The 25,461-nt window shown below is 40.4% G+C and overlaps 2 protein-coding genes across 3 annotated transcripts; one reads left to right on the top strand and one right to left on the bottom strand.

The window, feature by feature from the left end:
- Window positions 1-299: 299 nt before the first annotated feature.
- GIMAP4 (GTPase, IMAP family member 4) lies at window positions 300-6,863 on the bottom strand. Of its 2 annotated transcripts, none has more exons than NM_001363532.2 (3): window positions 6,816-6,863; window positions 4,252-4,365; window positions 300-2,124 (listed from the first exon to the last, which is right to left on the bottom strand). In NM_001363532.2, exons 2-3 carry the CDS (start codon window positions 4,349-4,351, stop codon window positions 1,193-1,195), a joined length of 1,032 nt encoding a protein of 343 aa, NP_001350461.1. In that variant the 5' UTR covers window positions 4,352-4,365; window positions 6,816-6,863; the 3' UTR covers window positions 300-1,192. The 2 variants fall into 2 exon arrangements, with proteins under 2 accessions (NP_001350461.1, NP_060796.1); NM_018326.3 differs by having other exon boundaries at window positions 4,294-4,365.
- Window positions 6,864-10,150: 3,287 nt separating this feature from the next.
- On the top strand, window positions 10,151-25,178 carry LOC107986860 (endogenous retrovirus group K member 19 Env polyprotein-like). The gene is made up of 2 exons (XM_017012936.2): window positions 10,151-11,040; window positions 24,676-25,178. The coding sequence occupies exons 1-2, from the start codon at window positions 10,470-10,472 to the stop codon at window positions 24,711-24,713; spliced, it is 609 nt and encodes a 202-aa protein (XP_016868425.1). The 5' UTR covers window positions 10,151-10,469; the 3' UTR covers window positions 24,714-25,178.
- The last annotated feature ends 283 nt before the right edge of the window (window positions 25,179-25,461 follow it).

The raw sequence follows: 25,461 nt of genomic DNA, 5'->3' as shown, positions 1-25,461 counted from the left end.
TAGTAAAGGGAATTTTTGCACCAACAAAACTACACAGGTCTCAGAAACCTTGGTTACTCATAATTTCCATCAGCACATAATGAAGATCCAAGGAAGTTGTGGTCTTTGGCTGATAAATGGGTTGAGATTGTGGCTCAAATCTTCTAGGGAAAGGGGGAAGGGGAGATGTCATGAGGGTAGACAAAGTCTAGCTCCAAAATCATCTTGAACTCTTACCATAAAGTGAAATTCATCCCTGTATTATTAGAAGTAGCAGTAGTATTTTCCAAGACAAAACAGGTTCCAATTCTGCACAAATATGAGATAATTGAAAAGTTTTATTATAAACAACATAAGCAAAAAATTCAATGCAGTGGGGGCAGAAGTGTGTGGATGACCTGCCAAACAATAAGTATTCAAAGTGTTGAGTGAGGGAGGTGAGGTTGCAACTATCTTTCTCTAGAAAAGAAGAGAACTGGGTATTCATCAAATTGGTTAAATTGAGGTTCGTCAAAGAGTTTCTACAGATACAGCTGAATATACTAAACATTGCTCTATTATCTGTTGAATTGCTGTATTTCACTTTTTCAGCATTTGGGGATCATTATTTAATTGAATTTGTAGAGATCGATTTTCCAGACAGGTCTCTGTTCTTCAATGAACAAATGATAAGAAACAATTTGACTCCTTATATGACAATGGAATTAAATAAATTGACACTCATCTAGGAATAATTCTACAATCATCTCCATCTCTAAGATTACCTACTGCAAACAAAGAATTGATCTTTCTTTCTCAAAAACCACATGGGTAAGATGATCATTGTGACTCTGAATGCAAGAATAAGTGAGTGGAAGCTACAAGGGGAGATTATCTGCCAACATAGAAAGAATCTAGAAGAAAAGATTTTATTACAGGTAACATGACATAGCTTGGAGCCATCTTTTTGGTCTCTTGCATACATTTTCTCTGCATGTCTAAGGAAGAATTCACAAGGTAGCAAGCACCAATACTTTCTGCTTTGGAGTTTCACAAATTGAAAATTTGTCCCTCTCTTGTTAAGTCAATCAAACATCTACCAATGGCCAATGGTGGTCCTTAGTTACGAGTGCCTGAGAGACAGAAACTAGAGCACTCGACTATGCTAAATAAGTAAGTATGGGGCAAGGTTGCCAGAGAATATGCAGAAAATACAAACAGATTTTCATTAAGTTTAATCTTCCGCGAACAGACGTAACAAAATAAAGGAAGCAATCTGTAACGCTGTCATGATTAATTCAAGTATCCCATCCTTACTCTCCACTTCCGTTCTTGCCCTTTGCTGCCTTACAGCATAGTGAGCCTCCTGTTCTGCTAGTTTCTTCTCCATTTGCTTCTTTCTCTTTTCCTGCTCCACTTTATCTTCCAGCTTTCTGATTTTCTCTTCATACTCCTCTCTTATCCGCGCTTTCTCTCTCTCCAGCTCCACTCTGTGGAGTTCTTGCATTGCTTGTGTTTGCTTCTGGATCTCCTCCTCCGCCCTTTGGTACATCCTATTAGTGTAGCAGCCTTCCTTGTTCTCCCTCACCACGCGCTGGATCAGGCCCAGCAACTGTGCCCTCTGGGCCTCCTGCTCAGCGCCTGTTGCCTTGTTGTTTAACGCACAGTAGCGGTCACCGAAAATGTCCATCAAGTCTTGAATGTCTTCTGGAGCTTCCCTTAAGTAGTCATGCAAATTGGTGTCACCTAAGTCATCTTTCCGGGTGAATATGAGAATCATGAAACTTCTAGCCCTCTCTCCAAACATTTTCAGGATCTTCTCTGTGGCTTTGTGCTCTTCCTCAGTGTAACGGCCCAGTGGAACCACCAGAAGCAGAGCATGAGGCCCTGGGGAGGTCAGAAGAATGCAGCGAATAATCTCCTTGGACGTTTCAGCATTGGGCACCTCTGTGTCGAAAATGCCTGGTGTGTCAACTACGACAAGTTCTGTTTCCTTCCATGAGCTGCTGCGTTTCTCACACTTCTTGGTAATGGATTTTGCTGCAGTGCCAGAATGAAACACTTTCCGGCCAAGGATGCTGTTTCCTGTTGCACTTTTTCCTGCTCCGGTTTTACCCACTAACACAATTCTCAATTGGGAATTTCTGGGCTCTTGCCTTCCAGGCCCTGGGACATCAAGAAAAAAAAAAAGCCATGCTGTTAGAATCTACCTCTAATAGATTCCCCTGCAGAGTCCTCACCCCCAGTGCCCTCCTCCGTTACTGGCTGTGGGGGCTTCTCCTGATGTTACTGCTGCACTCAGAGATTCCTGTAGGCCTGATGCTCATTTTTCAGTACTTGGGCAACTGGCCTTTCCCTTAATCTCCTATCTTCAATCTTGCTTTTTAGGATTCCTTTGAGCTTCTCAGTCTGACCTTTTGTAGCTATGTAGCCCAGAGGAAGAAATAAAATGGTTTCAGAAGAGAACTATGAGCTGCCAATAATAGCTGTTTGTACCTTTATTTTTTCTTTTTGAGACGGAGTTTCACTCTTGTTGCCCAGGCTGAAGTGCAGTGGCATGATCTCGGCTCACTACAACCTCTGCCTCCTGGGTTCAAGCGATTCTCCTGCCTCAGCCTCCCAAGTAGCTGAGATTACAGGCATGCACCACCATGCCCGGATAATTTTTGTATTTTTAGTAGAGACGGGGTTTCGCCATGTTGATCAGGCCGGTCTCAAACTGCTGACCTCAGATGATCCACCCGCCTCGGCCTCCCAAAGCGCTGGGATTACGGGCATGAGCCACTGCACCCGGCCAGCTGTTTCTTTCTAAATAAGGTCGTGCAGGGAGTAACCCAAGATTTGACTTTAGCATATCTGTAGTGGAGATTTATTTTCCCAATTTATATTCAAAATGAAGCATTTCTTCTTCCCATTAAGAAGCCAGGGAAGTGGGTTATGCAACTTATCATTATTCTTAAAATACACCTTCCCACGTTTGATAACCAGAATTCTGGGATGAAAGAAGCGTATTTCCGAAAGTGATGTGACTGAGAACACTGGATACAGGAAGGCTAAGATTATCTAAGGAAAAACGTGGGCTGGCGTTCACATTTTTAGTTAGCATCACAGCAGAAGGCTCTGTCCTAAGGATATCCTGAGGGCATTTTTTGGCCATAGGGAAGGAAGTAGGAGAATCATGGGAGGCAAAATGACAAAGCACCAAAGGCCAGCTCCAACACTGCAACAGTTAGTCAGTGTTGAGAGCATATGGTGACAATCCATGGAGGAGATTGTAAATGTAGCCACAATCTATTCCCATCCCTGGATGCATGCCTCTGGGATGTAGATTTGCAGTTCCTCCCATCAAGATGCTATCTGTCTCTTCAACTGTTGAATCTGGGTGGGCCTTATGACTTGCTCTGGACAGTAGGACAGTAGAAAGCCTGGTGCAAGCAGAGACTCCAAAAGTGCTTATGCACTGTGGCTTGCCTTTTCTTTCTGCTCCTCCTGCAACTGCCTTAAAAGGAAGCCTGGACTAGCCTTCTTGATGATAACAACAAGGCCCAGTTATCTCTATTACCCTTGCTGTCTGAGAGCTTGCTAACTACCAGACATGTCCATAAGGCTATCCAAGACCATTCAGTTGCATACCAGGCACTAGCTTACCCCAGATGCATGAGTGAGTGCCTGAGATGAGCCAAGCTGGTCCAGACCCAAGAACAGCCCAGTGAACCCACAGAATTAAGAACCAACTAAATGGCTGATGTTTTAAGCTATGAAACTTTGGGATAGTTTATTAAACCAGCAAAATCTCAACTGATATAGTCAATTTCTATGGGTAAGGAAGAAAATGGAGGGTCATGTGATACACTGAATGAGCCAGCCAGTTTAATTTGTTGGTTATAGTGAGACCACCAGGAGCTGGGAAATTAGATACCAGGGTGAGGGACAATTACTCCCACATTCCTCATTCCCAGTTCTCCTCCAGGCTGAAGAAAGGGGCAGAAAAACAATCAGATAGGCTACAACCAGCTGTTCTGGTGTGTCCATGTTGTAGGAAGCAGGAGGTAAGAAACTGTGCCGAGCCCTGGGTCAATCAGAGGATATTTAATCTCTCTTCTGCTTAGCTGCTTAGCCACACCATGGGCAGAAAGTGCAGAGGGTCAAGAAAGATGAAAGAGCAGGTCAAATGAGGAGAAAATGAGAAAAGAGGTTGGAAATATTTTTCTCCTGCTCAAATGGGGACTGGGTGGCAAGGCAGGAGAACCCCACCCCTATTCCCCCCCAAATCCCCCACCCCCACCTGCTAACCTCCCTGCAGCCTGGTCTGGGGAGCACTGAATGCCCTCTCACCATAACTGGCCCCTGGTGTGCTGGGGTTGAAGCTCATACTGCCGTATTGGGCTGCCATTGTCGCTTGAACTCCTGTAGATCAAGAAACATAACCATGTCATTTTAGGGAAATGGAAGCAACTAGAATCCCTGACTGCCTGTAGTCAACAACAACTTTCTTTTTGCCATGAGCTTGCTACATTGATTTCTCCTGCTCCATTTCCCAAAAGTCTCCTCAACCCTCCATTTTCAGTTTCATTTTCAGATTGTTCCTTTTTCTTTACACAAACATAAATGCTTCCAGTGCTTCCTCACAGGGGTTCTGGCCCCTTCCCCCCTCTATCTAGAGATTCGTGGCTTGGATGTGTTTATATGAGGTCTGTAGCCTACACCCTCCTCAGAGTTCCAAACTTTTATATCTCCCTCAGCTTATAAAAGTTCCAAACTTTTGTATCTCACTCCATTTGGCTATTTCATGGGCATCTCAAACAGAACCTGGCCGAAATTAAGCCCTGACCTCCACATCCTGTCTGCCTTCCTGGCTCCCCGCTCAGCAGATGGCACCAACATCTAGCCCCGTGGCTCCTGCAGAACTTTGGGGTCATCTACAACTCTTTTATCCTCTCTCTCTCATCAGCCCATCACCAAATCCTATTGATTCCACTTCCAAAAAACTCGAAATTACCCATTTCTCTCCATCTTTGTGCTAATACAACCCACTGTCAATTGTATACAACTTAACAGGCTTCTAATTGATCATCTCCCCTTCAATCCCTTTTCTACTCTACAATCAGATGTTCTTTTAAAACTAAAATTTGATATTTTTTCTTGTTTAAATTTCCTAGTGGCTTACTATTGGTTTCAAAATAACTGAAGTCCTCAGAATGGCCCATAGGCCCTGTGTGATCAGCTCTCTCCTCTCTCCTATGTGTGAGCCACACTACCCTCAATGTTCTGGAAATCTAGGCTCCTTCCACCTTCAAGGCCTTTGCAGTTATCATTCCTTCTCTTTGGAGCACTCACCCTCCAACCTAGTGCCCAGCTTGTTCCTGCTCAACCCGCAGGCCTCGGCTCTCCAGAGAGTCTTCCCCAACACCACTGTCTACCAGCAACACCCTCTGTTATGATCCACTGCACCCCAGAGGCTTCTTACAGAATATGTATTACTTTAGGAAGTTAATTGCTTGATTTTTTTACTGTCTCCTCTTATACTACAAGCTTTGTGATGAGAAGACCACATATGTCTTGTATTTCTCATTATTCCCTGGGGACAAGCACAATACTGGGCAAAGAATGGTTATCGATCATTGTTAAATAAATAAATGGATAATCTCCCTGCTTCTTGCCTTTGATTGATCATTATGTCCAGCCCACATCTGATCTGTGAAAATGACAATCCATTCCTTTATTAATTAATATGTAGTGTTATAGAAACATGGTATTAATTTTAAATGTTTTATTTCATTGCTACCTACAAACATTTTGCAATGGAGAAAGATATTTGAAGAACTCTTATTGGAGCAGACTTTGAACAAAACAGGCAGAAAATGGTAGTTGTTAAAGACAGAGTCACCTCATAGGAAGCCAACAAATATGAAACACTGTGAAAAGCCAGATATTTCTTTTGAATGACTATTTCTTTATCCTTCAAGAATAGGGTATAGGAAACAGCTTCTTGTAAACAAGAGAAATCATGGCATTTTTTAAAAATCAGCTTTGGTGGCTGGTGTTAGGAGAGAGGATAGGACACCAGCAAGAAGAAAACAATACTGTGACATTCTGGGTTTTTGTGACATTCTCTGGGTGTTTCTTCATATCCTCCTTCTAGTGTGTGGGCTCTTTAATGCTGCTCTGCTGTTAATAATTCAGAGGCAAAGCCAGGAGACTGTGCTTCTGTAGGTGCTGACTTCAGGTGGCTGAATTCTCCTCTCTCTGCCTAAGGAACAAGCACCCATCAGCATCCAGCTTCTCCTGAACTGTAGAGAGTCACACCAGGTGGCATCTCCCTCCTCCTACCCGCTAAAGGGGAGCTCAATGCCCAGTAAACCCAGGACTGTCCCTGAGGAGACAGTTTCCCTAACGGGCAGCTCCGAGCAGACAGTTAACCCTGTAACAAGACCTCAGACTGCAGAGCCTCCAATCCTGACCTGGGTGCAGTCTTTGTGGGGCCACATATGGAGCTGTGCCCCTTACACATCCCAATGTTCCTCTTCCCACCAGCTCCCCCAGAGCTAATTCTGTCCGCTCACCCAACTTTATCCCTGGAAGAATCAAAGTTTCTATATAAATTCCACAACCAGCGAGAGGAAACATTTATTTGTAAAACAAGTATCCTCTGAGCAGCAATCTCTGGAAGAGGCATTGATTTGTAGGGCTCAGCCTTGAAAACAGATCACAGCCTAAAATTAGCAAAGCCAGGAAACGGGAACCAGCGAGAATATAGTCTGAAAACATGTTTACCAGACGATTTAAGATACAGGTCCCTCCTCACCAAAATCGCACATTCGTCCCGACCCCCACCACACACACCCCTATTCCCTTACCTGAAAAATCAGGATCTTGCACCCCTCTCTGATTTTGCACACAATACTAAGCCAGGATGTTGAGAAACAGGAGAAGAGAGGAAGTGAGGGGAGGAGCTGTCCAGATTTACTTGTGCAAGGGACCTGCCCACCTGATCATCCAGCAGCTCTAATAGAACTTTCTGCAGGGATGGGGTTGTTCTGTGCTGTCCAAGATGGTGACCCTTAGCCACACGTGACTACTGAGCGCTTGAAATGTGACGAGTGTGATTGCAGTTCTGAATTTTAAATTTTATTTTGTTTCAATTTATTTAAAGTTAAATAGCTACTCCATTGTCAGAATTCTAAAAGGCAAAGTCAGGCAGAACAACTTGCACCAGGCATTTTCCCCAGAAGGAAAGAAGGAATATTCAGCTTGGTATGCCTGGTGGCTACCATACTGAACCTTGCAAAGGCTCTGCAGTGAGACAAAAAACATGGGTCATGCTGTGACATTCTGGAAGAAACTTCTGGGCCAAAACTAGAGAGTTATCAGTTATTCTGAAAGACCCTTGAGCCCCTGAACCCCTGCTCAGCACAACAGGCCTCCCAGCTAAGCCCCCATACCCCTTTCTCCCAGTACCTCAGGTATGTCCTCTGAGTCCACAGTGTGTCCTTATTTCCAGGGTATGTCCATGAGTCATCTGCTAGAAGCAAAAGAGAGTAAATGACTTTCACTGGACTGACTAGGATGGGCCCAAAATTCACCTCCTGAGATGGTCCTGGAACCACTGAAATATTCTAAACACTGACATCTGACACTACTTACCACTAAAATGGAAACTTTGAGAGTATTGTAATGGGGTCCCAGCTCACCGTTATAACCAGTTATTTTTCCATTGTAAAAGGGGTCTCAATTTACCATTATACCCCACAGCTGAGACCTTATTTAGAATTACATAGCACTTTAGTAATTATAAAATTGCTAATAATTCTAAAGAGAACTGTAAGAGAAAGACATACATTTCTTTGAGGATAGAATGTGATTGGCCCTGGGTATACAAGCACAGGATGGCTACACTAAAAAGCAGAACAAGGCAATGGAATACATCTTGCACCAACAGTAAGGATAATTTACATTCCAGAGCAACATGACTTAAATAACAAAGACCACTTGGTCCCTTGGTTTGACAGGCAAACGAAGGCAAGTCCAAAAGAACAGGCAGCATGAGAAAGCATCTCCGCGATTCTGAACTGAGATACCTTAAAAGACTAGGATTATATTTTGTTTCTGAAGCCTAAACCTGGCTAGAAGGTATATATTATTCTATTTAATTACAGAAATTGATGCAAAATATAGTATTTATTTTTAGTACTATTAAAGCACTGGATCATTACTTAGGGAATCTTTATTCAGGTTACAGGGATCACTGCAGTAGGAAAGTTCTCTGTTAGGGACTACATTTGCAGTGAGCACCACGTTTCATCTAATGCTTTAACAATAAAGCAATGTGTAGACAAAAATGTCTACATTAAAGATCCAGAAATGAAAACAATAATTTGTGATACCACATTAAAAATTTAGAAAAGGAACAGCAAATTGAACCTAAAGTAAGGAGGATGAAGGAAATACTAAAGGGAAGAAATCTTGAAACAGAAAAAAAAAATAGAGAAAACCAATAAAATCAAACATGAATTCTTTGGAAATAATTAATAAAATTGATAAGCCTCTATCTACATAAATCAAGAAAAGGGGCAAAACATACAGTATACAAGTTATTAATATCAGGAATGGGAACGAGATCATGCAGGCATTAAAGGGGTTGGGCCTGATCACCTCAACATCTAGCTCCAGTTAAAAAAGGGGGAGAATCAGGAGGTTATGTATGCTAACCTCCAAAAACATATGAAAGAGACAGTTCAACCTACTGCACCCTCAGGGGAAGCTCCGGAATGGCCACCCCCACCTAAGCCTTGTGAACTGCAGGCATGGGAGCCTGAGATGCCGTTTGCGGCACCTGTTATTGCACAACCTGCCGTTAACTATGGTAAAAATCAGACTCAGCCACCAGTTAATTACGGTTAAAAATTCAGACTTGTCCACCTGTTAATTATTCCAAAGAGATGCTTCAGGCTCCTCCCAACGTTAAATATGGGACAATTCAGGCTTCCATTCATCAGGCACGAGAAAGTGGGGACTTGGATGCTTGGCAGTTTCTGGTGACTGTCATACCAGAGGAGCAGCCTGGACATGCTCAGTCACACTGGGAGCCATTCCCTTTTAAAATATTGAAAGACTTAAGGCAAGCAATTGGACAATGTGGGCCAAATTCTCCTTATGTTCATTCCCTATTACAATCTGTGGCTTACAACCAGCACTAATGATTGAGGAAAAAATACAACAAGCTCCATTCACCTACAGGGGTTATTGCTCAGAGTGAGGACTTGGTTGAATGGTCTTTTTATAGTTCCAATGAACAAAAACCAGATTCGACAGGTTTTTATTAACTCCTTTAATTGGCAAGTAAATTTATTGGCAAGTTAATTGGCAAGCTGAATTCATAGGAAACCTTAACAATCATTATCCAAAAAATAGGATTTTTCAGTTTTTAAAATTAACTACATGAGTTCTGCCAAAAATTACCCATAATGCTCCCTTAGAAGGAGCAGTGACTGTATTTACAGACGGCTTTAGTTCTGGAAAGGCAGCCTGTGTAGGACCTAAAAATTGAATTATTCATACTAATTTCCATTCAGCTCAGAGGGCTGAATTACAGGCAGTTATAACTGTGTTGAAAGATTTTAATCAGCCTGTAAATATTGTCTCTGGTTCGGCTTACGTTGTTCAAGCCACTCTAAACATAAAAACTGCATTAATTAAGTACATTGTTGATGAACAACTTTATCAACTGTTTTCTTCCTTACAGAAGGTGGTGCATCATCAAGGTTTTCCTTTTCATATTACACACATCCAAACACATACTAATCACCCTGGGCCCCTTGTAAGGGCTAATAATCAAGCTGATTTATTAGTTTCTCCTGTACTCACAGATGCCCAAGACTTTCACTCCTTAACACATGTTAATGCAGCAGGACTTAAACAGAAATATCAAATCACCTGGAGACAAGCAAAGGACATTGTACAACATTGTCCTCAGTGCCAAGTATTACAATTACCACATCAAGGAACTGGTGTTAACCCTAGAGGGTTGGCACCTAACAAAATCTGACAAACTGACGTTACCCACATTCCTAAATTTGGTAAACTTTCTTACGTTCCTGTAAGTGTTGATACATTTTCAAAATTCATGTGGGCTACCTGCCAAACTGGTGAAGCTACAGCACGTATAAAAAGACATTTGCTTTCTTGTTTTGCTGTTATGGGCATTCCACAGGAACTTAAAACAGACAACGGGCCAGGCTACTGCACTAAATCTTTAGAAACATTCTTACAACAATGGGGTGTTCGACATAGTACTGGCATACCCTATAATTCTCAAGCACAGGCCATTGTTGAACTTGCAAACAGAACTTTAAAAACTCAATTACAAAAACAAAAGGCAAAGAGGGGGGAATACTCCACTCCCTATATGCAGCTACAACTGGCTCTTATTATTTTAAATTTTTTGAACTTGTCCAGAGATCAGTTTACAACTGCAGCAGAGCAGCATCTAACAGGGCAAAAAATAAATCCCCATGAAGGAAACCTTGTGTGGTGGAAAGATGTCAGAACAAAGACCTGGGAAGAGGGGAGAATCATTACATGGGGTAGAGGGTTTTCTTGTATTTCACCAGGAGAAAATCAGCTTCCTCTCTGGGTGCCTACAAGACATCTTAAGCTGTGCCGTGAGTCAGAATCCAAGGAAGAGGAGAAGACCTCGGAACTTTGCACTCCCAACTTGCCTGATGGCTCAAATGAAGATTTCTGCTGAGCAGAAGGTGACCAGCAAGACTCACCAGTCAACTCCACCGACCTGGGGGCAGATTAAGAGATTGACCCAGCTTGCAGAAGAGGACCTGAAGTCTCAGGACAAACCGTGGACCTCCTGCAATCTGCTGGTAGCTATGATGGTGGTAATTACCCTGGCAGTGAGTCTCCCTGTAGCTGAGGCTGATCAAAATTATACCTATTGGGATTACATTCCATTCCCTCCACTGATTAGACCTCTTACTTGGCTGAACTCCCCAGTTGAGGTTTATGTTAATAATAGTGTTTGGATGCCCGGACCAACTGATAACCAAGGCCCTACTCATCCAGAGGAGGAAGGTATGTTAATAAATGTGTCCATTGGTATTGCTTTCCTTCTATATGTCTGGGGCCTGCAGCAGGATGTTTAGATTATGACAAACAAAGCTGGATGGTTTATGTCCCTGCACATAATGGATCAGAGGCCTCTATTCATATAGTTAGTGGAAGGAGCTTTCAATCTAAAACAAAAGTCATATCCTCAGGAAATTCCTATCGTATAGCTAATATTCTTACTAATCAATTTAGGCCAAGAAAGAAAAAATGCCCAGAACAATTGACATTATGGTCTAAGGAAGCTGAGGTGCTGACTTGGGAAGATTGCATTGCAAATAGTGCTGTGGTACTGCAAAATAACTCCTATGGAATCGTTATTGACTGGACCTCTAAGGGGCAATTTGCAGTAAATTGTACTGGACAGCACAAGGGATGTCAAGAGCGCAGCTTGCCAATTGACTATTCCGAAAAGGCACCTACCCAAAAGTATAGAATAGAAGCCGACTTTCCTGTCTTCTGGGAAGGCAGTGATATGGTTCCTCCATGCCCTAAAATGATTGATCCAATAGTAGGTTCAGAACACCCAGAACTGTAGAAATTAATGATGGTTCAAACCCCAATATGGATTTGAAAAGGAGAATATAAAACAGAAACCCATAGTAAAAAACTTCAATTTGTTGTAGCTTAGTCCTCTAATCAGATGTCCCATTACAGGGTTGTGTTAAACCTCCTCTTATGTTGGCAGTAGGACAAATCAATATTTTACCTGATTTTCAAACTATATCATGTCTTGGCTGTCATCTTTTCACTTGCATTGACTCTACATTTGATAAGAATAATAGTATCTTGCTTGTCAGAGCCTGAGAGGGAGTTTGGATACCTGTTTCCCTTAATAGACCTTGGAAAGCTTCCCTTTCCATTCATATTGTCACTGAAATACTAAAGGGAATGCTTAATTGAACAAAAAGGTTTATTTTCACTCTTATTGCAGTTATTATGGGTACCATAGCTGTAACAGCCACGACAGCAGCCACAGGTGTTGCTTACATTCTTCTGTTCAAACTGCTGATTATGTTAACCAGTGGCAAAAGAATTCTTCTAAGCTTTGGAATACCCAGAAACAAATTGATCAAAAATTAGCTAATCAGATTAATGATCTCCATCAAACAGTACCATGAATGGGGGATTGAATTATAAACCTGGAACATAGAATACAAATACAGTGTGATTGGAATACTTCTGATTTTTGTATTACTCCTCAATCTTATAATGCCTCTGTGCATCATTGGGAAAAGGTTAAACACTATCTAGAAGGAAGAGAGGAAAATCTAACACTGGACATAAGAAAATTAAAGGAACAAGTTTTTGAGGCATCTCAAGCCCACTTAACTCTCTTACCTGGTGCTGATGCCCTTAATGGAGCTGTTGATGGGCTCTCTGACCTGAATCCTCTGAAATGGATTAAAACCATTGGAGAATCAACTGCTACAAACTTTGCTTTAATTTCTGTTTGTCTATGCTGCTTATTTTTAGTCTACAGGTGCAAAAGATGCCTTGGGAGAGAAGCCAGACACCACAAGCAAGCCATGATAGAAATGGCAGTTATTAATTAAAAAAAGCGGGGGGCAAGTGCTGGTGGAAGGGATTATGGGGTGCCAGTTTAGCCAGTCACCCCTGTGTAGGACACCTATGGAATACCATAGGGGGCCCCTGAGGAGAAACATCTCCTTATTGCCATTGTGTCCCCATGCCAGTGAGCATGGCTGAAACACTCCCTTGAGCACTGGAATGTGACCAGACATCCTGACTTTTTGTAAAACCAACTCCTACCAGCTGCAGCCCAATAAGTTAAAGATTATCTCAGTAGTTAGACATATGCTTTTAGCTTAAAGGAAATTCACTTAACCGTCACTGCTATAGATCTTTCACAACCGAATGACACACGTACCCCTCCTTCACCATTTCACCCTGTACCATCCCCTTCTTAGATCAAAAAATTGTACTCAATAAATTGTCAGGCAGCCAGAGCTCTGGGCCTTTTGCAGCCTTCCCTCCAGCAACTGGCCCCCTGGACCTACTTTAAATCTTAACTTGTCTTTTCTCATTCCTTTGTTGCCACCAGACTTTGGGTACCCGCAGGTAGTGTTGAGGCTGGACCCCAACAAAAGGGATGATAATGGACTGTAGTAATGCAGTTTTGAGGACTGAGGTCAGAGGAGAGAGATACAGATGGACATCTCTGAAGAGCATGAAATGTACAGACATGTGTACCTCATATTAACACTGATTAAAGAGAATTCAGAAAAGGATATTAATTAATATACCCAATTCTGTGCACATCAGCCAGCCTCTTCTCCCAGCCACACCTGTCCTTGCTTAATAGGCTCATCACATGGTGGTAGGGATGGGGGTTATGCATGAATGCAGCAATTTTGACTCCCAGTCTCTGAGGCCAAGCTGGCTACAGCCACTGTTAAGTGACCAAACTAATAAGAGCTAAGACCAACACTGAGCCTTTGATCCAACACCATATCCCAGGGAGATCAGTTGGCCACCGGGGGGCATGTATCCACTTCTATGATAGAAAGAGCAGAACCAATGTTTGATATCAGAATGGATCTTCCCACTATTGATCCTAATGAGCCATGTGAAATTGTGGCTTCCCTTTCCCACAGCTTTGGGTTATGTTGGCCTCAGTTCCCAAGGAAAGAATGCTTCTCTCATGAACACAATGTTTCCCTAACTATTGGGGGAAACCACCCCCAATATTTCAATGTAGGTTCTTTCTATTTTCCTTAAGTGTCAGCTGGCTGAGAAATAAAGAGAGACAGTACAAAGAGAGGAATTTTACAGCTGGGTCGCCGTGGGTGACATCACATATTGGTAGGACAATGATGCCCCCCTGAGCCTCAAACCAGCAAGTTTTTATTAAGGGTTTTAAAAAGGGGAGGGGGTGCAAGAATAGGGAGTAGGTACAAAGATCACATGCTTCAAAGGGCAAAAAGCAGAACTACTAATAAGGGTCTAACAAAGATCACATGCTTCTGAGGGAACAGGACAAAGGGCAAAAGCAGAACTACTGATAAGGGTCCAACAAAGATCACAGGGCAAAGGGCAAAAGCAGAACTACTAATAAGGGTCTATGTTCAGCGGTGCACGTATTGTCTTGATAAACATCTTAAACAACAGAAATCAGGGTACAAGAGCAGAGAACTGGTCTGACCACAGATTTACCAGGGCAGAGTTTTCCCCATCCTAGTAAGCCTGAGGGTACTGCAGGAGACCAGGGAGTATCTTAGTCCTTATCTCTACTGCATAAGACAGACATTCCCAGAGCGGCCATTTATAGACCTCCCCCCAGGAATGCATTCCTTTCCCAGGGTATTAATATTAATATTAATATTCCTTGCCAGGAAAAGAATTCAGTGATATGTCTCCTACTTGCATGTCCATTTATAGGCTCTCTGCAAAAAGAAAAATATGGCTTTTTTTGCCTGACCCCACAGGCAGTCAGACCTTATGGTTGTCTTCCCTTGTTCCTAAAAATTGCCATTATTCTGTTCTTTTTCAAGGTGGACTGATTTCATATTGTTCAAACACGTTTTACAATCAATATGTACAGTTAACACCATTATCACCGTGATCCTGAGGTGACATACATCCTCAGCTTACGAAGATAACAGGATTAAGAGATTAAAGACAGGCATAAGATATTATGAAGGTATTATTTGAGAACTGATAAATGTCCATATTAAAATGAAATCTTCAAAATTTATGTTCCTCTGCTGCAGCTCCAGCCGGTCCCTCCATTCGGGGTCCCTGACTTCCTGCAACACCTAATAATATAGGAATGTTCAGATTATGTATTTCTTCTTAAGTGAACTTTGGTAGTTTCAAGAAACTTCTCTATTTCCTCAAAGTTGTTGAATTTATTGGCCTAAAGTTTTCCATGATATTCCCTTATTATGATCTTAATTTATATAGAATCTTTAGTGATGTAATAATTGATATTTTATACTTTCTCCATATTTTTTCTTATACACCTGGATAGAAGTTTGCCAATTTTATTGATCTTTTTAACAAAACAGCTTTGGATTTTTTCATTTTTTAAAATATTTTTCTGTGTTCTATTTTACTGATTCCCATGTTGATCTTTATTTCTTGTGCTTACTTTGAGTTTAATTTGCTCTTTTTTCTTATTTCTTAATGTGGAAACTGATGTCATTGATATAAATTTTTTCTTTTTTTTCTATTACAAGCATTTAGAGCTATAAATCTCTTTCTAATATTGCATTAGCTGAATCCCACAAATTTTCATATGCTGTGTTCTTCACTCATTTAAAATGCTTTCTAATTTTCCTTTTGACCTAGTTTTTGGCCCACAGATTATTTAGAAAATGTAACTTAGTTTCCAAATATTTGGGGATTTTCCAGATATATTTCTGTTACTGATTTCTAATTTAATTTTGTTATTGTCTGGGATAGGCTTTGTATTATTTTGATGCTTCTACATTCATTGAGACTTTTTTGTTGCCTGGAATATGTTCTATCTTAGTAAATATCTCATGTGCACTTAAAAATAATGGGTATTCTGCTATTGTTCAGTGGAATATTCTATCAATATCAATCAGATTAATTTGGTTGATAGTGTGATCAAGTCTCCTATAAACTAATTTTCTGTCTACTTTTTTGAGAGAGGAGTGTTGAAATCTCTATTATTTTGGATTTGCTTATTTCTTCCCACAGGTCTATCAAATTTTGCTACATGTATTTTGAACCTCTGTTATTAGAGGCATAATAGTTGAGTATTGTTATGTCCTTTTGACTAACTTCTTTCTCATTATGAAGTTATGTTCTTTAGTAATATTTGCTCTGAAATCAACTTTGGCAGTAATATAGTCACTTCGGCTGTTTCTTATTAGTGTTATGATGACGTATCTATTTCCATTCTTTTACTTTTAACTTATTTGTGTTTTTATATTAAGAGTGGGTTTCTTTTAGGCAAGATACAGTTGGTGTCTTGCTTTTTTAATCCAACCTGAAAATCTGCTTCTAATGGGAGTATTTAGATCCTTTGCATGCTGTGTGATTACTGACATAGTTGGGTTTAAATCTATCATCTTGCTATTTGTTTTGTCCCACCTGTTCTTTGTTTCCTTTTTCCTATATTTCTGCCTTCTTTGGGGATTGAATATGTTTATGATTTCATTTATTTTATTTTATTATTATTATACTTTAAGTTTTAGGGTACATGTGCACAATGTGCAGGTTAGTTACATATGTATTCATGTGCCATGCTGGTGTGCTGCACCCATTAACTCGTCATTTAACATTAAGCATATCTCCTAATGCTATCCCTCCCCCTCCCCCACCCCACAACAGTCCCCAGAGTGTGATGTTCCCTTTCCTGTGTCCATGTGTTCTCATTGTTCAATTCCCACCTACGAGTGAGACTATGCGGTGTTTGGTTTTTTGTTCTTGCAATAGTTTACTGAGAATGATGATTTCCAATTTCATCCATGTCCCTACAAAGGACATGAACTCATCATTTTTTATGGCTGCATATATTCCATGGTGTATATGTGCCACATTTTCTTAATCCAGTCTATCATTGTTGGACATTTGGGTTGGTTCCAAGTCTTTGCTATTGTGAATAGTGCCGCAATAAACATACGTGTGCATGTGTCTTTATAGCAGCATGATTTATAGTCCTTTGGGTATATACCCAGTAATGGGATGGCTGGGTCAAATGGTATTTCTAGTTCTAGATCCCTGAGGAATCGCCACACTGACTTCCACAATGGTTGAACTAGTTTACAGTCCCACCAACAGTGTAAAAGTGTTCCTATTTCTCCACATCCTCTCCAGCACCTGTTGTTTCCTGACTTTTTAATGATCGTCATTCTAACTGGTGTGAGATGGTATCTCATTGTGGTTTTGATTTGCATTTCTCTGATGGCCAGTGATGGGGAGCATTTTTTCATGTGTTTTTTGGCTGCATAAATGTCTTCTTTTGAGAAGTGTCTTTTCCTGTCCTTTGCCCACTTTTTGATGGGGTTGTTTGTTTTTTTCTTGTAAATTTGTTTGAGTTCATTGTAGATTCTGGATATTAGCCCTTTGTCAGATGAGTAGGTTGTGAAAATTTTCTCCCATTTTGTAGGTTGCCTGTTCACTCTGATGGTAGTTTCTTTCGCTGTGCAGAAGCTTTTGTGCAGCAGAGGTTGCTGACAAAAGTTGTTTGTGGTAAATGTTGCTGCAAGGGCATGCCTGTTTCTTTGCACATCTGAATAGGAATGGCGTAGTCTGAGCACTTAGAGGCTTATCTTTATAACAGGAAGCATATAGAGACATTGCATGGCCTGGTCCTATGGCATTTCTCTCTTTTTGAGGACCTGAGATTCAGTGTAGAAGTCCTCGATTTTAAAAGTCTGGGTGTTCTGCTTTTCAACTGTGTAAATTGTTAGGGTTTACAAATTACAAGTAATTTTTTGGCCCTGTTCCTTGATGGGCTCCACCCTGGGCTCAGTAGTCAAGTTGAAGAAACAGACTGCAGTAAAAGTTACCTATCTTAAATGAAGTTGATCTCCTTGTGAAATCCTATGGTGAATTCCTATAATTTTGCATTGTTTTGGCATCCTTTTTTGATCTTTCTCTACCACACACACACACAAATTCCTTCTTAAAGGAGCGTGGACTTTCTCTCTCTCCCCTGACCCCTTTGAGATGTGGATTGCTACCCTGTTTCCTCTGGGGTTAGGTGAGGGCTTGAGTTGTCAGGGACAAGTGGGCATTGACTTATTCAATTTGCAGGGACATAAGCTTAATCCAGATGTCTTTTAGGATGAGTGAGTTCTGCCAGTTTCATGGCTAGAGTTTTAAAATCAAGGCTGGGTATCTTTGCTTCTCTCTGTATTTTTATGTGCACATGTGAGTATGTTTTTATGTATTTACTGTGATATCAAATTGGCTTATAAACAAAGGAGTACTCATAAATGAAATAAATAAGTCCAGTTTTTTTCAAGTTTATGTGATTTTAGCAGTCTTTGATAAATATAGTTTTTAAATTGTTGTTAAAATAGAAATGTCTTCAAAATTTAATTTAGACACATTTGTCTTGGTCAGGAAGGTTTATAATCTTTCTGCTGGATGTTTTAAGATCATAAAACTCTAGCTGCCATACTACTTCTGATACTCAGTGCCTTTATTAGGTCTTATGATTGTTTAGGAAACTGAGTCTCCTCCCTATCAAAGAGTAAAGGTTTTTGCTTTTTGAAATATTTTGGTTATCACTTTGGCTAAATAAATGACTATTATATCACAGTGACCTATGATATTAAAGTAACTCTATCCTCATAAGGATTCCAGATCAGACATTTTGAATGCAAGTCACCATATGATTCAGCAGTACCATGCCATGACTGGAATAGCCTTATGATACTTTAAAGTGGAATATTTATTGATTTGAGGGGCTTGATGGAGGATGGAGAGTGAAGATGGGGAAGAACAAGTGGGATCCTATTTTTAGCAAGTAGGTTTTAAAAACACTCTTATTTTAGGTTAAGGCATACATGTGCAGGTTTTTTATATAGGTAAATTCGTGTTACGAGGGTTTGTTGTACAGATTATTTCATCACCCAGGTATTAAGCCTAGTACCCATTGGTTATCTTTTGTGCTCCTCTCCCTCCTCCCATCCTCCACCCTAAGGTAGGCCCCAATGTCTACTGTTCCCCTCTGTCCGTGTGTTCTCATCATATAGCTTCCACTTATAAGTGAGAACATGCAGTGTTTGCTTTACTGTTCCTGCATTAGTTTGCTAAGGATAATGGCCTCCAATTCCATTCACGTTGTTGCAAAGGACATGATCTCATTCTTTTTTATGGCTGCATAGTATTCCATGATGTATATGTAACACATTTTCTTTATCCAATCTTATTTCTTTCTCTTGCCTGATCTCTGGCTAGGACTTCCAGGACCATATTGAATAAGACTGGTGAAAGATGGCATCTTTGTCTTGTGTGGGTTTTTAAGGGGAATGATTTCAGCTTTGGCCCTTTTAGTATACTGTTGGCTGTGGGTTTGTCATAGATGGTTCTTATTATTTTGATGAATGTTCCTTCAATACCCAGTTTATTCACAGTTTTTGACATGAAGGAATGTTGCATTTTATCAAAAGCATTTTCTGTGTCTATTGAGATAATCATGTGGTTTTTGTCTTTAGTTCTGTTTATGCGATTAATTACATTTATTGATTTGTGTATGTAGAACCAACCTTGCTTCCCAGGGATAAAGCCTACTTGACCATGGTGGATTAGCTTTTTGATGTGCTGTTGGATTTAGCTTACCAGTATTTTGTTAAGGATTTTTGCATCAGTGTCCCTCAGAGATACTGGCCTGAAGTTTCCTTTTTTTGTAGTGTCTCTGCCAGTTTTTGGTATCAGGATGATTCTGGTCTCATAGAAAGAACTGGGGAGGAATCCCTCTTCCTTAATTTTTTTGGAATAGTTTCAGTGGGAATGGTACCAGCTCTTTATATATGTGGCAGAATTTGGTTGTGAATCCATTTTGTCCTGGGCTTTTCTTGGTTGGCAGGCTATTTGTTACTGATTTCATTTTGGAGCTCATTACTGGTCTGTTCAGGGATCCTGTTTCTTCCCGGTTCTGTCTTGGGAGGGTGTATGTGTGCAGGAATTTATTCAATTCTTCTAGATTTTCTAGTTTATGTGCCTAGAGGTGTTCATAGTAGTTTCTGATGGTTGTTTGCATTTCTGAGGATTTAGTAGTAATATCCCCTTTTTTTGTTTCTAATTGTGTTTATTTGAATCTTCTCTCTTTTCTTCATTAGTGTAGCTAGTGGTCTATCTATCTTATTAATTGTATCAAAACATCAGCTCTTGGGTTCATTAACATTTTGAATGGTTTTTCATGTCTCATTCTCCTTCAGTTCAGCACTGATTATTTCTTGTATTCTACTAGCACTGTGGTTGGTTTGCTCTTGCTTCTCTAGTTCTTTTAGTTGTGGTGTTAGGTTGTTAATTTGAGATCTTTCTATCTTTTGATATGCGCATTTAGTGCTATAAATTTCCCTTTTAACATTACCTTAGCTGTGTCCCAGAGATTCCACCATGCTATATCTTTGTTTTCATTAGTTTCAAAGAACTTCTTGATTTCTGCCTTAATTTCATTGTTTATCTAAAAGCCATTCAGGAGCAGGTTGTTTAATTTCCATGTAGTTGCATGCTTCTGAGCAATTTTCTTAGTCTTGAATTCTATTTTTATTGCTCTACAATTTAAGAGAGTGGTTGGTATAATTTCAGTTATTTTACATTTGTTGAGGATTGTTTTATGTCCAATTGATTTTAGAGTATGTGCCATGAGGTAATGAGAAGAATGTATATTCAATTGTGTTTTTGTGGAGAGTTCTGTAGATGTTTATCAGGCTCATTTGGTCCAATGTTGGGTACAGTTCCTAAATATGTTTGCTAATTTTCTCCCTCAGTGATCTGTCTAATATTGTTTGTGGGGTACTGAAGTTTCCCACTATTATTGTGTGGGAGTTGAAGTCTCTTTGAAGGTCTCTATGAACTTGCTTTATGAATCTCTGTGCTCCTGTGTTGAGTGCATATATATTTAGGATAGCTAGATTTTCTTTTTGAATTGAAGTCTTTACCATTATGTAATTCCCTTCTTTGTCTTTTTTTAATCTTTGTTAGTTTAATGTTCTTTTTTTCTGAAATTAGGGTTGCAACCCCTCCTTTTTTCTGTTTTCTATTTGCTTTTAGTAGATTTTTCTCCACTTCTTTATTTTAAGCCTATGTGTGTCATTGCATGTGAGATGACTCTCTTGATGACAGCATACCATTGGGTCTTGCATCTTTATCAAGCTTTCCATTCTGTGCCTTTTAGGTGGGGCATTTAGCCCATTTACATTCAAGGTTAATGTGGACACATGTGGATTTGATCCTGTTATTGTGTCATTAGCTGGTTGTTATGCTAACTTGTTTGTGTAGTTGCTTTATAGTGTCACTAGTCTGTGTATTTAAGTGTGTTTTCTTGTAGAGGCTGGTAATCTTTCCTTTCCACATTTAGTGCTTCATTCAGGAGCTCTTGTAAGGCAGCTCTGGTGGTAAAGAATGCCCTCAGCATTTGCTTCTCTGAAAAAGATCTTATTTCTCCTTTGTTTATGAAGCTTAGTTTGACTGGATATGAAAATCTTGGTTGGAATTTCTATTCTTTAACAATGTTGAACATAGGCCCCCAGACTCTTCTAGTTTGTAGGGTTTTGCTGAGAACTCTGTAGGTAGTCTGAAGGGCTTCCTTTTTAGGTGACCTGCCCTTTCTCTCTAGCTGCCTTTAACATTTGTTCTTTCATTTCAACCTCAGAGAATCTGATGATTATGTGTCTGAGAGATGATCTTCTTGTGAAGTATTTTTCAGGGTTCTCTGCATTTCCTTAATTTGAATATTGGCCTCTCTAGCTAGGTTGGGAGCATTGTCATAAATGATATCCTGAAATATGTTTTCCAAGTTGCTTATACTTTCCTCATCTTTCAGGAATGCCAACAAGTCATAGATTTAGCCTCTTTACATAATTCCACATGTCTTGGAGATTTTATTTGTTCCTTTTCATTCTTTTGTCTTTATTTTTGTCTGACTGCCTCCTTTCAGAAAGTCAGTCTTCAGACTCTGAGATTCTTTCCTCAATTAGGTCTATTCTGCTGTTTAAACTTGCAATTACATTCTGAAATTCTTGTAGTGGGTTTTTCAGCTCTATCAGGTCGGTTACATTCTCTTCTATAGTGGTTATTTTTTCTGTCAGCTCCTGTATCGTTTTATCATGATTCTTAGCTTCCTTAGATTTTGTTTAAACACTCTCCTAAATCTCCAAAATCTTCATTCCTATCCGTATTCTGAATTCTATTCCTGTCATTTCAGTCACCTCATGCCAGTTAAGAACCCTTGCTAGAGAACTGGTGCAATTATTTGGAGAAAATAAAACACTCTGGATTTTTGAGTTGTCAGAGTTCTTATGCTAGTTCTTTCTCATCTTTGTGGGCTCATATTCCTTAGATTTTTGAAGTTGCTTTCCTTTGGATGGTTTTTTTCTTTTATCCTATTTGATGATCTTTGGGATTTGTTTGTGGTATAAAGTGAGATCAGTCAACTGGCTTCATTTCTGGAAGATTTTAGGTGGCCAAGGCTCAGCCCAGGACTTCTGGACTGCATGCTCTAACTCTGGGAGACTGGTATCAAGCCCTAGTTTTGTTCTCTGGCTCCTCGAGGTTAGAAACCTGTTGTGCAGGAGGGGCCTAGTTCCTCCTGAACTGCTGGTAACAACACTCCAATGAGTGGTGCCAGCCAAAGCACTTTTTAGGGCAGTGGCAGCAGGATCCGTTCTATTTCACATATATTAGCAGCAGCAGCAGAACAGTGGTGTGCACACTCTTTGGCTGTGGCAGGTTCCTAGCAGTGTCAGGGTGCCAGCTTCTTTGCAGGTGCTTGCAGCAGTGGCAGTGGCATCATAGTTTGGGGATCCAGGAGGCCTCTGAAAGCCACTGTATAAGGGTTCACACTGGTGGTAGTGTTAGCACAGGAGTGGGGCACTGGGGGCCCAGGACTGTGTGTGCCCTTCATACACATTTGCACAGGTGGTGGTGGTGGTCACTCAGGGCAGGGACAGGTCTACTGTTCTCCACGCCTAGTTTTACACTGATGGCAATGTCAGAGCAGGGTCTAGGTGCCAGTGGAGACAGGGCTGGCAAGCTCTGTGTCCGACAATGATCCAATGATGATGGCAGTGCAGATCAGGGGAGGGATGGCAGGATGCAAGCACACCAGCAGCCATAGAATAGCAGAATGCATGTGCACACATGTGCTGACAGGGATGGGAAGGCAAGGTCCTCCTGTGCACAGTGGCACTGGCAAAACAACGTGAGGAATAGCTGTGGGTGAGTACATGCTGGCAAAGTGGCACATGGGAGGCTGCAGTGGAAGGAGGGTGCAGGCAGGCTGGTGCGTGTCTATAGGGGCCACTCTACTGGAGCACTCTGCCTGTCAGGCAGAGTCTGCCAGCATAGAAGTTATGATGCAGGCCCCCAGGAGGTACCTGAGGGCTGCACTGCAAGCAGACACAGCCAGGCTGGAGCCCTGGGAATGGGCAGCAGACCAAGGGGTGCTCAGGTCAGATGGGCCCTGTCTCATAGGCAAGACCATCCTGTCAGATTTCAGGTCTGACAGTTTCCCTAGGGTTAAAGTCTTGTATGGGGGCAAGTGGAGCGTTGGGGAATGGGTGTCCCTGGCCACACTCCACTACAGACGCTTCCACACCAAACCCTCTGGGCTCCACACTGGCTGGAGTTCTGCCTCTACCACTTCAGTGAACAGCTCTCCCCGCCAACTCAAATGTCTAGTGGTCAAGGGGTTTCCTCCTGCTGGGATTCGAGAGGTCTATGGTGAGAGCAGGTTGCTCTTTGCCTGTTCAACTCACTCCACTACAGGAGTCGTGGGGGGCCAGGAACAAATCCTAGTGGGGGGCCAGGAACAAATCCTAGTATGTGATAGTCCCATGCAAGGTTCTGAGCTTACTCCCCCTTCATCTCAGCACCTGTGTCTTCCCTCCATCTGCTTTCAATGCTTTCCCTCTGAAGATCTGCTAGGAGTAAGCCAGTTTTCCTGATGTTTTCATCCCTTGGTGGCAGATATTCCTCCTGGCTGCATCTAGTTGGCCATCTTGAAGCAGGCAACCTTGAGCAAATGTTTTAAAACTTTGATATTTGACAAACTTTCCAAAATTGAAATTTTCAAATTCTAACTCAGCCTTTTTGACCTCAAACTAACTTTTTGGATATTAGAGCCCCTGGAAATCACAGACACATTAGGCTTATTTGATATGTTAAAATCACATGGAAATGATTGTCAAATATGAAATGGTGTTTAATTTTCTTTGGGTTATAGTTTTAGACATGCATTATTAATATATGTTCCAAAATTTATGAGATTTCTAAAATTCTGATGTCTTAATATGTTCTAGTAATTATTATGTCAAATTGTTGTATACCACAGAAATAGCCAAATTTTCTTGTCAGTTGAGTCTTTAACCATGGCTATTCTAAGACCTTTGTCATTCACATATAATTATTGTTTTACTTTGATTCTTCTCACAAAGTGGCTTTTAATTATTTTAGTTCAAAATTTGCTTCCTTAAGAATATTCATGGAAAGGCCTCTGACAAGTACTCTTGAATACAAGTTTCAGATAACTTTGGAGATCATATCATTGGACTAGGTAAAAACTTTCAGGACTGCAGTTAAAAGCTAGTGCATTTATGAGGATTGCTAACCCAACATCAGGCAGAACAATAATTACTTACACAAAACTGAACAAATAGAGGACTGAAATAATTTTATGACTTCCTTGGTTGTAACATTGCTAATTCTTTTTGTGTTCTGTTTTCCAGAGTCAAGAAAACTTTTTTCTTTTGAGCTATTTATAGCTTACAACAAATTGAGTGAAGTATACTATTATAAGCAAAAATGTGAAGGATTTATCTTTCTCTCTACCTGATTTCTTCAGAATTTAGAAACTATTTGTGAACATTCTTAATTTATGGCAATATAATTATTTATATAAGTTTAATAATAATCTGTTTTCTTTTATAACAGGAATCAATTGGAGACTTGTTATTTTACCGAGGCTGTGAGAGAAATGGCATATTTTCAGATATGTCCAGATTACTTTGAGGAATTAAGGTTGACTTTTTAGACCCGAAAGGAAGCCTCTTGGAAAGACTGGCCTGGCACTTTTTCTATGCAGTTGCTTTACAAGGTTCCTGACCTGTGGTCAGTAAAGAATGTCACTTTATGACAGGCCCAGAAATCTCAAGTTATTTTGGGACTTTGAGAAGAAACAACTTCACACAATTCGTATGGGTATCACAGGCAATCTGATAAATCCCTGACTTGAATAGCTTTGAGAGGCCTTTCAAATCAGAGATTCCTTATGAAAAGTTCAAACAAAGCCAATCAAAAAAGCAAAACGTTATTCTTGCTGCACTTTATGCAAATAATTAGACCACATTTAACCAGACTAAAATCTACTTTGCACACAAATTAGTTTTATTATAATTTGTATCTGGTACAAAAAGGGATCCAGAGAGAGAGAGAGAGAAAGAGAGAGAGAGAGAAAGAAGGAAAGAAAGAAAGAAAGAAAGAAGAAAGAAGGAAAGAAAGAAAGAAAGAAAGAAGAAGGAAAGAAAGAAAGAAAGAAAGAAAGAAAGAAAGAAAGAAAGAAAGAAAGAAAGAAAGAAATTGTATTTCAAAAGAAACCTATAACATACCTGTCATTAGATTCTAGCCTTGAACACTGTTTTTGGTTTTTATTATTTGACAACTCATTAAAGAAGAAAAAACTCATAATTTTCTTTTTTCTTTAAAGTATTTAATTATTTA

Source organism: Homo sapiens, chromosome 7, assembly GCF_000001405.40.
Source record: "Homo sapiens chromosome 7, GRCh38.p14 Primary Assembly".
In the NCBI taxonomy this organism is placed as follows: domain Eukaryota; kingdom Metazoa; phylum Chordata; class Mammalia; order Primates; family Hominidae; genus Homo; species Homo sapiens.
Note: the sequence above shows the minus strand (reverse complement) of the source record. Positions and strands in the feature narration are given on the sequence as shown.

Bases quoted from the DNA above. Each gene is read 5' to 3' on its own strand.
- GIMAP4 (NM_001363532.2), bottom strand. From the start codon at position 4,351: ATGGCAGCCCAATACGGCAGTATGAGCTTCAACCCCAGCACACCAGGG. The intron at 2,125-4,251 runs GTTAGCAGGTGG...TTGATGTCCCAG, and splicing joins CCAGACCAGGCTGCAGGGAG to GGCCTGGAAGGCAAGAGCCC.
- LOC107986860 (XM_017012936.2), top strand. From the start codon at position 10,470: ATGAAGGAAACCTTGTGTGGTGGAAAGATGTCAGAACAAAGACCTGGG. The intron at 11,041-24,675 runs GTATGTTAATAA...CTTTTATAACAG, and splicing joins TACTCATCCAGAGGAGGAAG to GAATCAATTGGAGACTTGTT.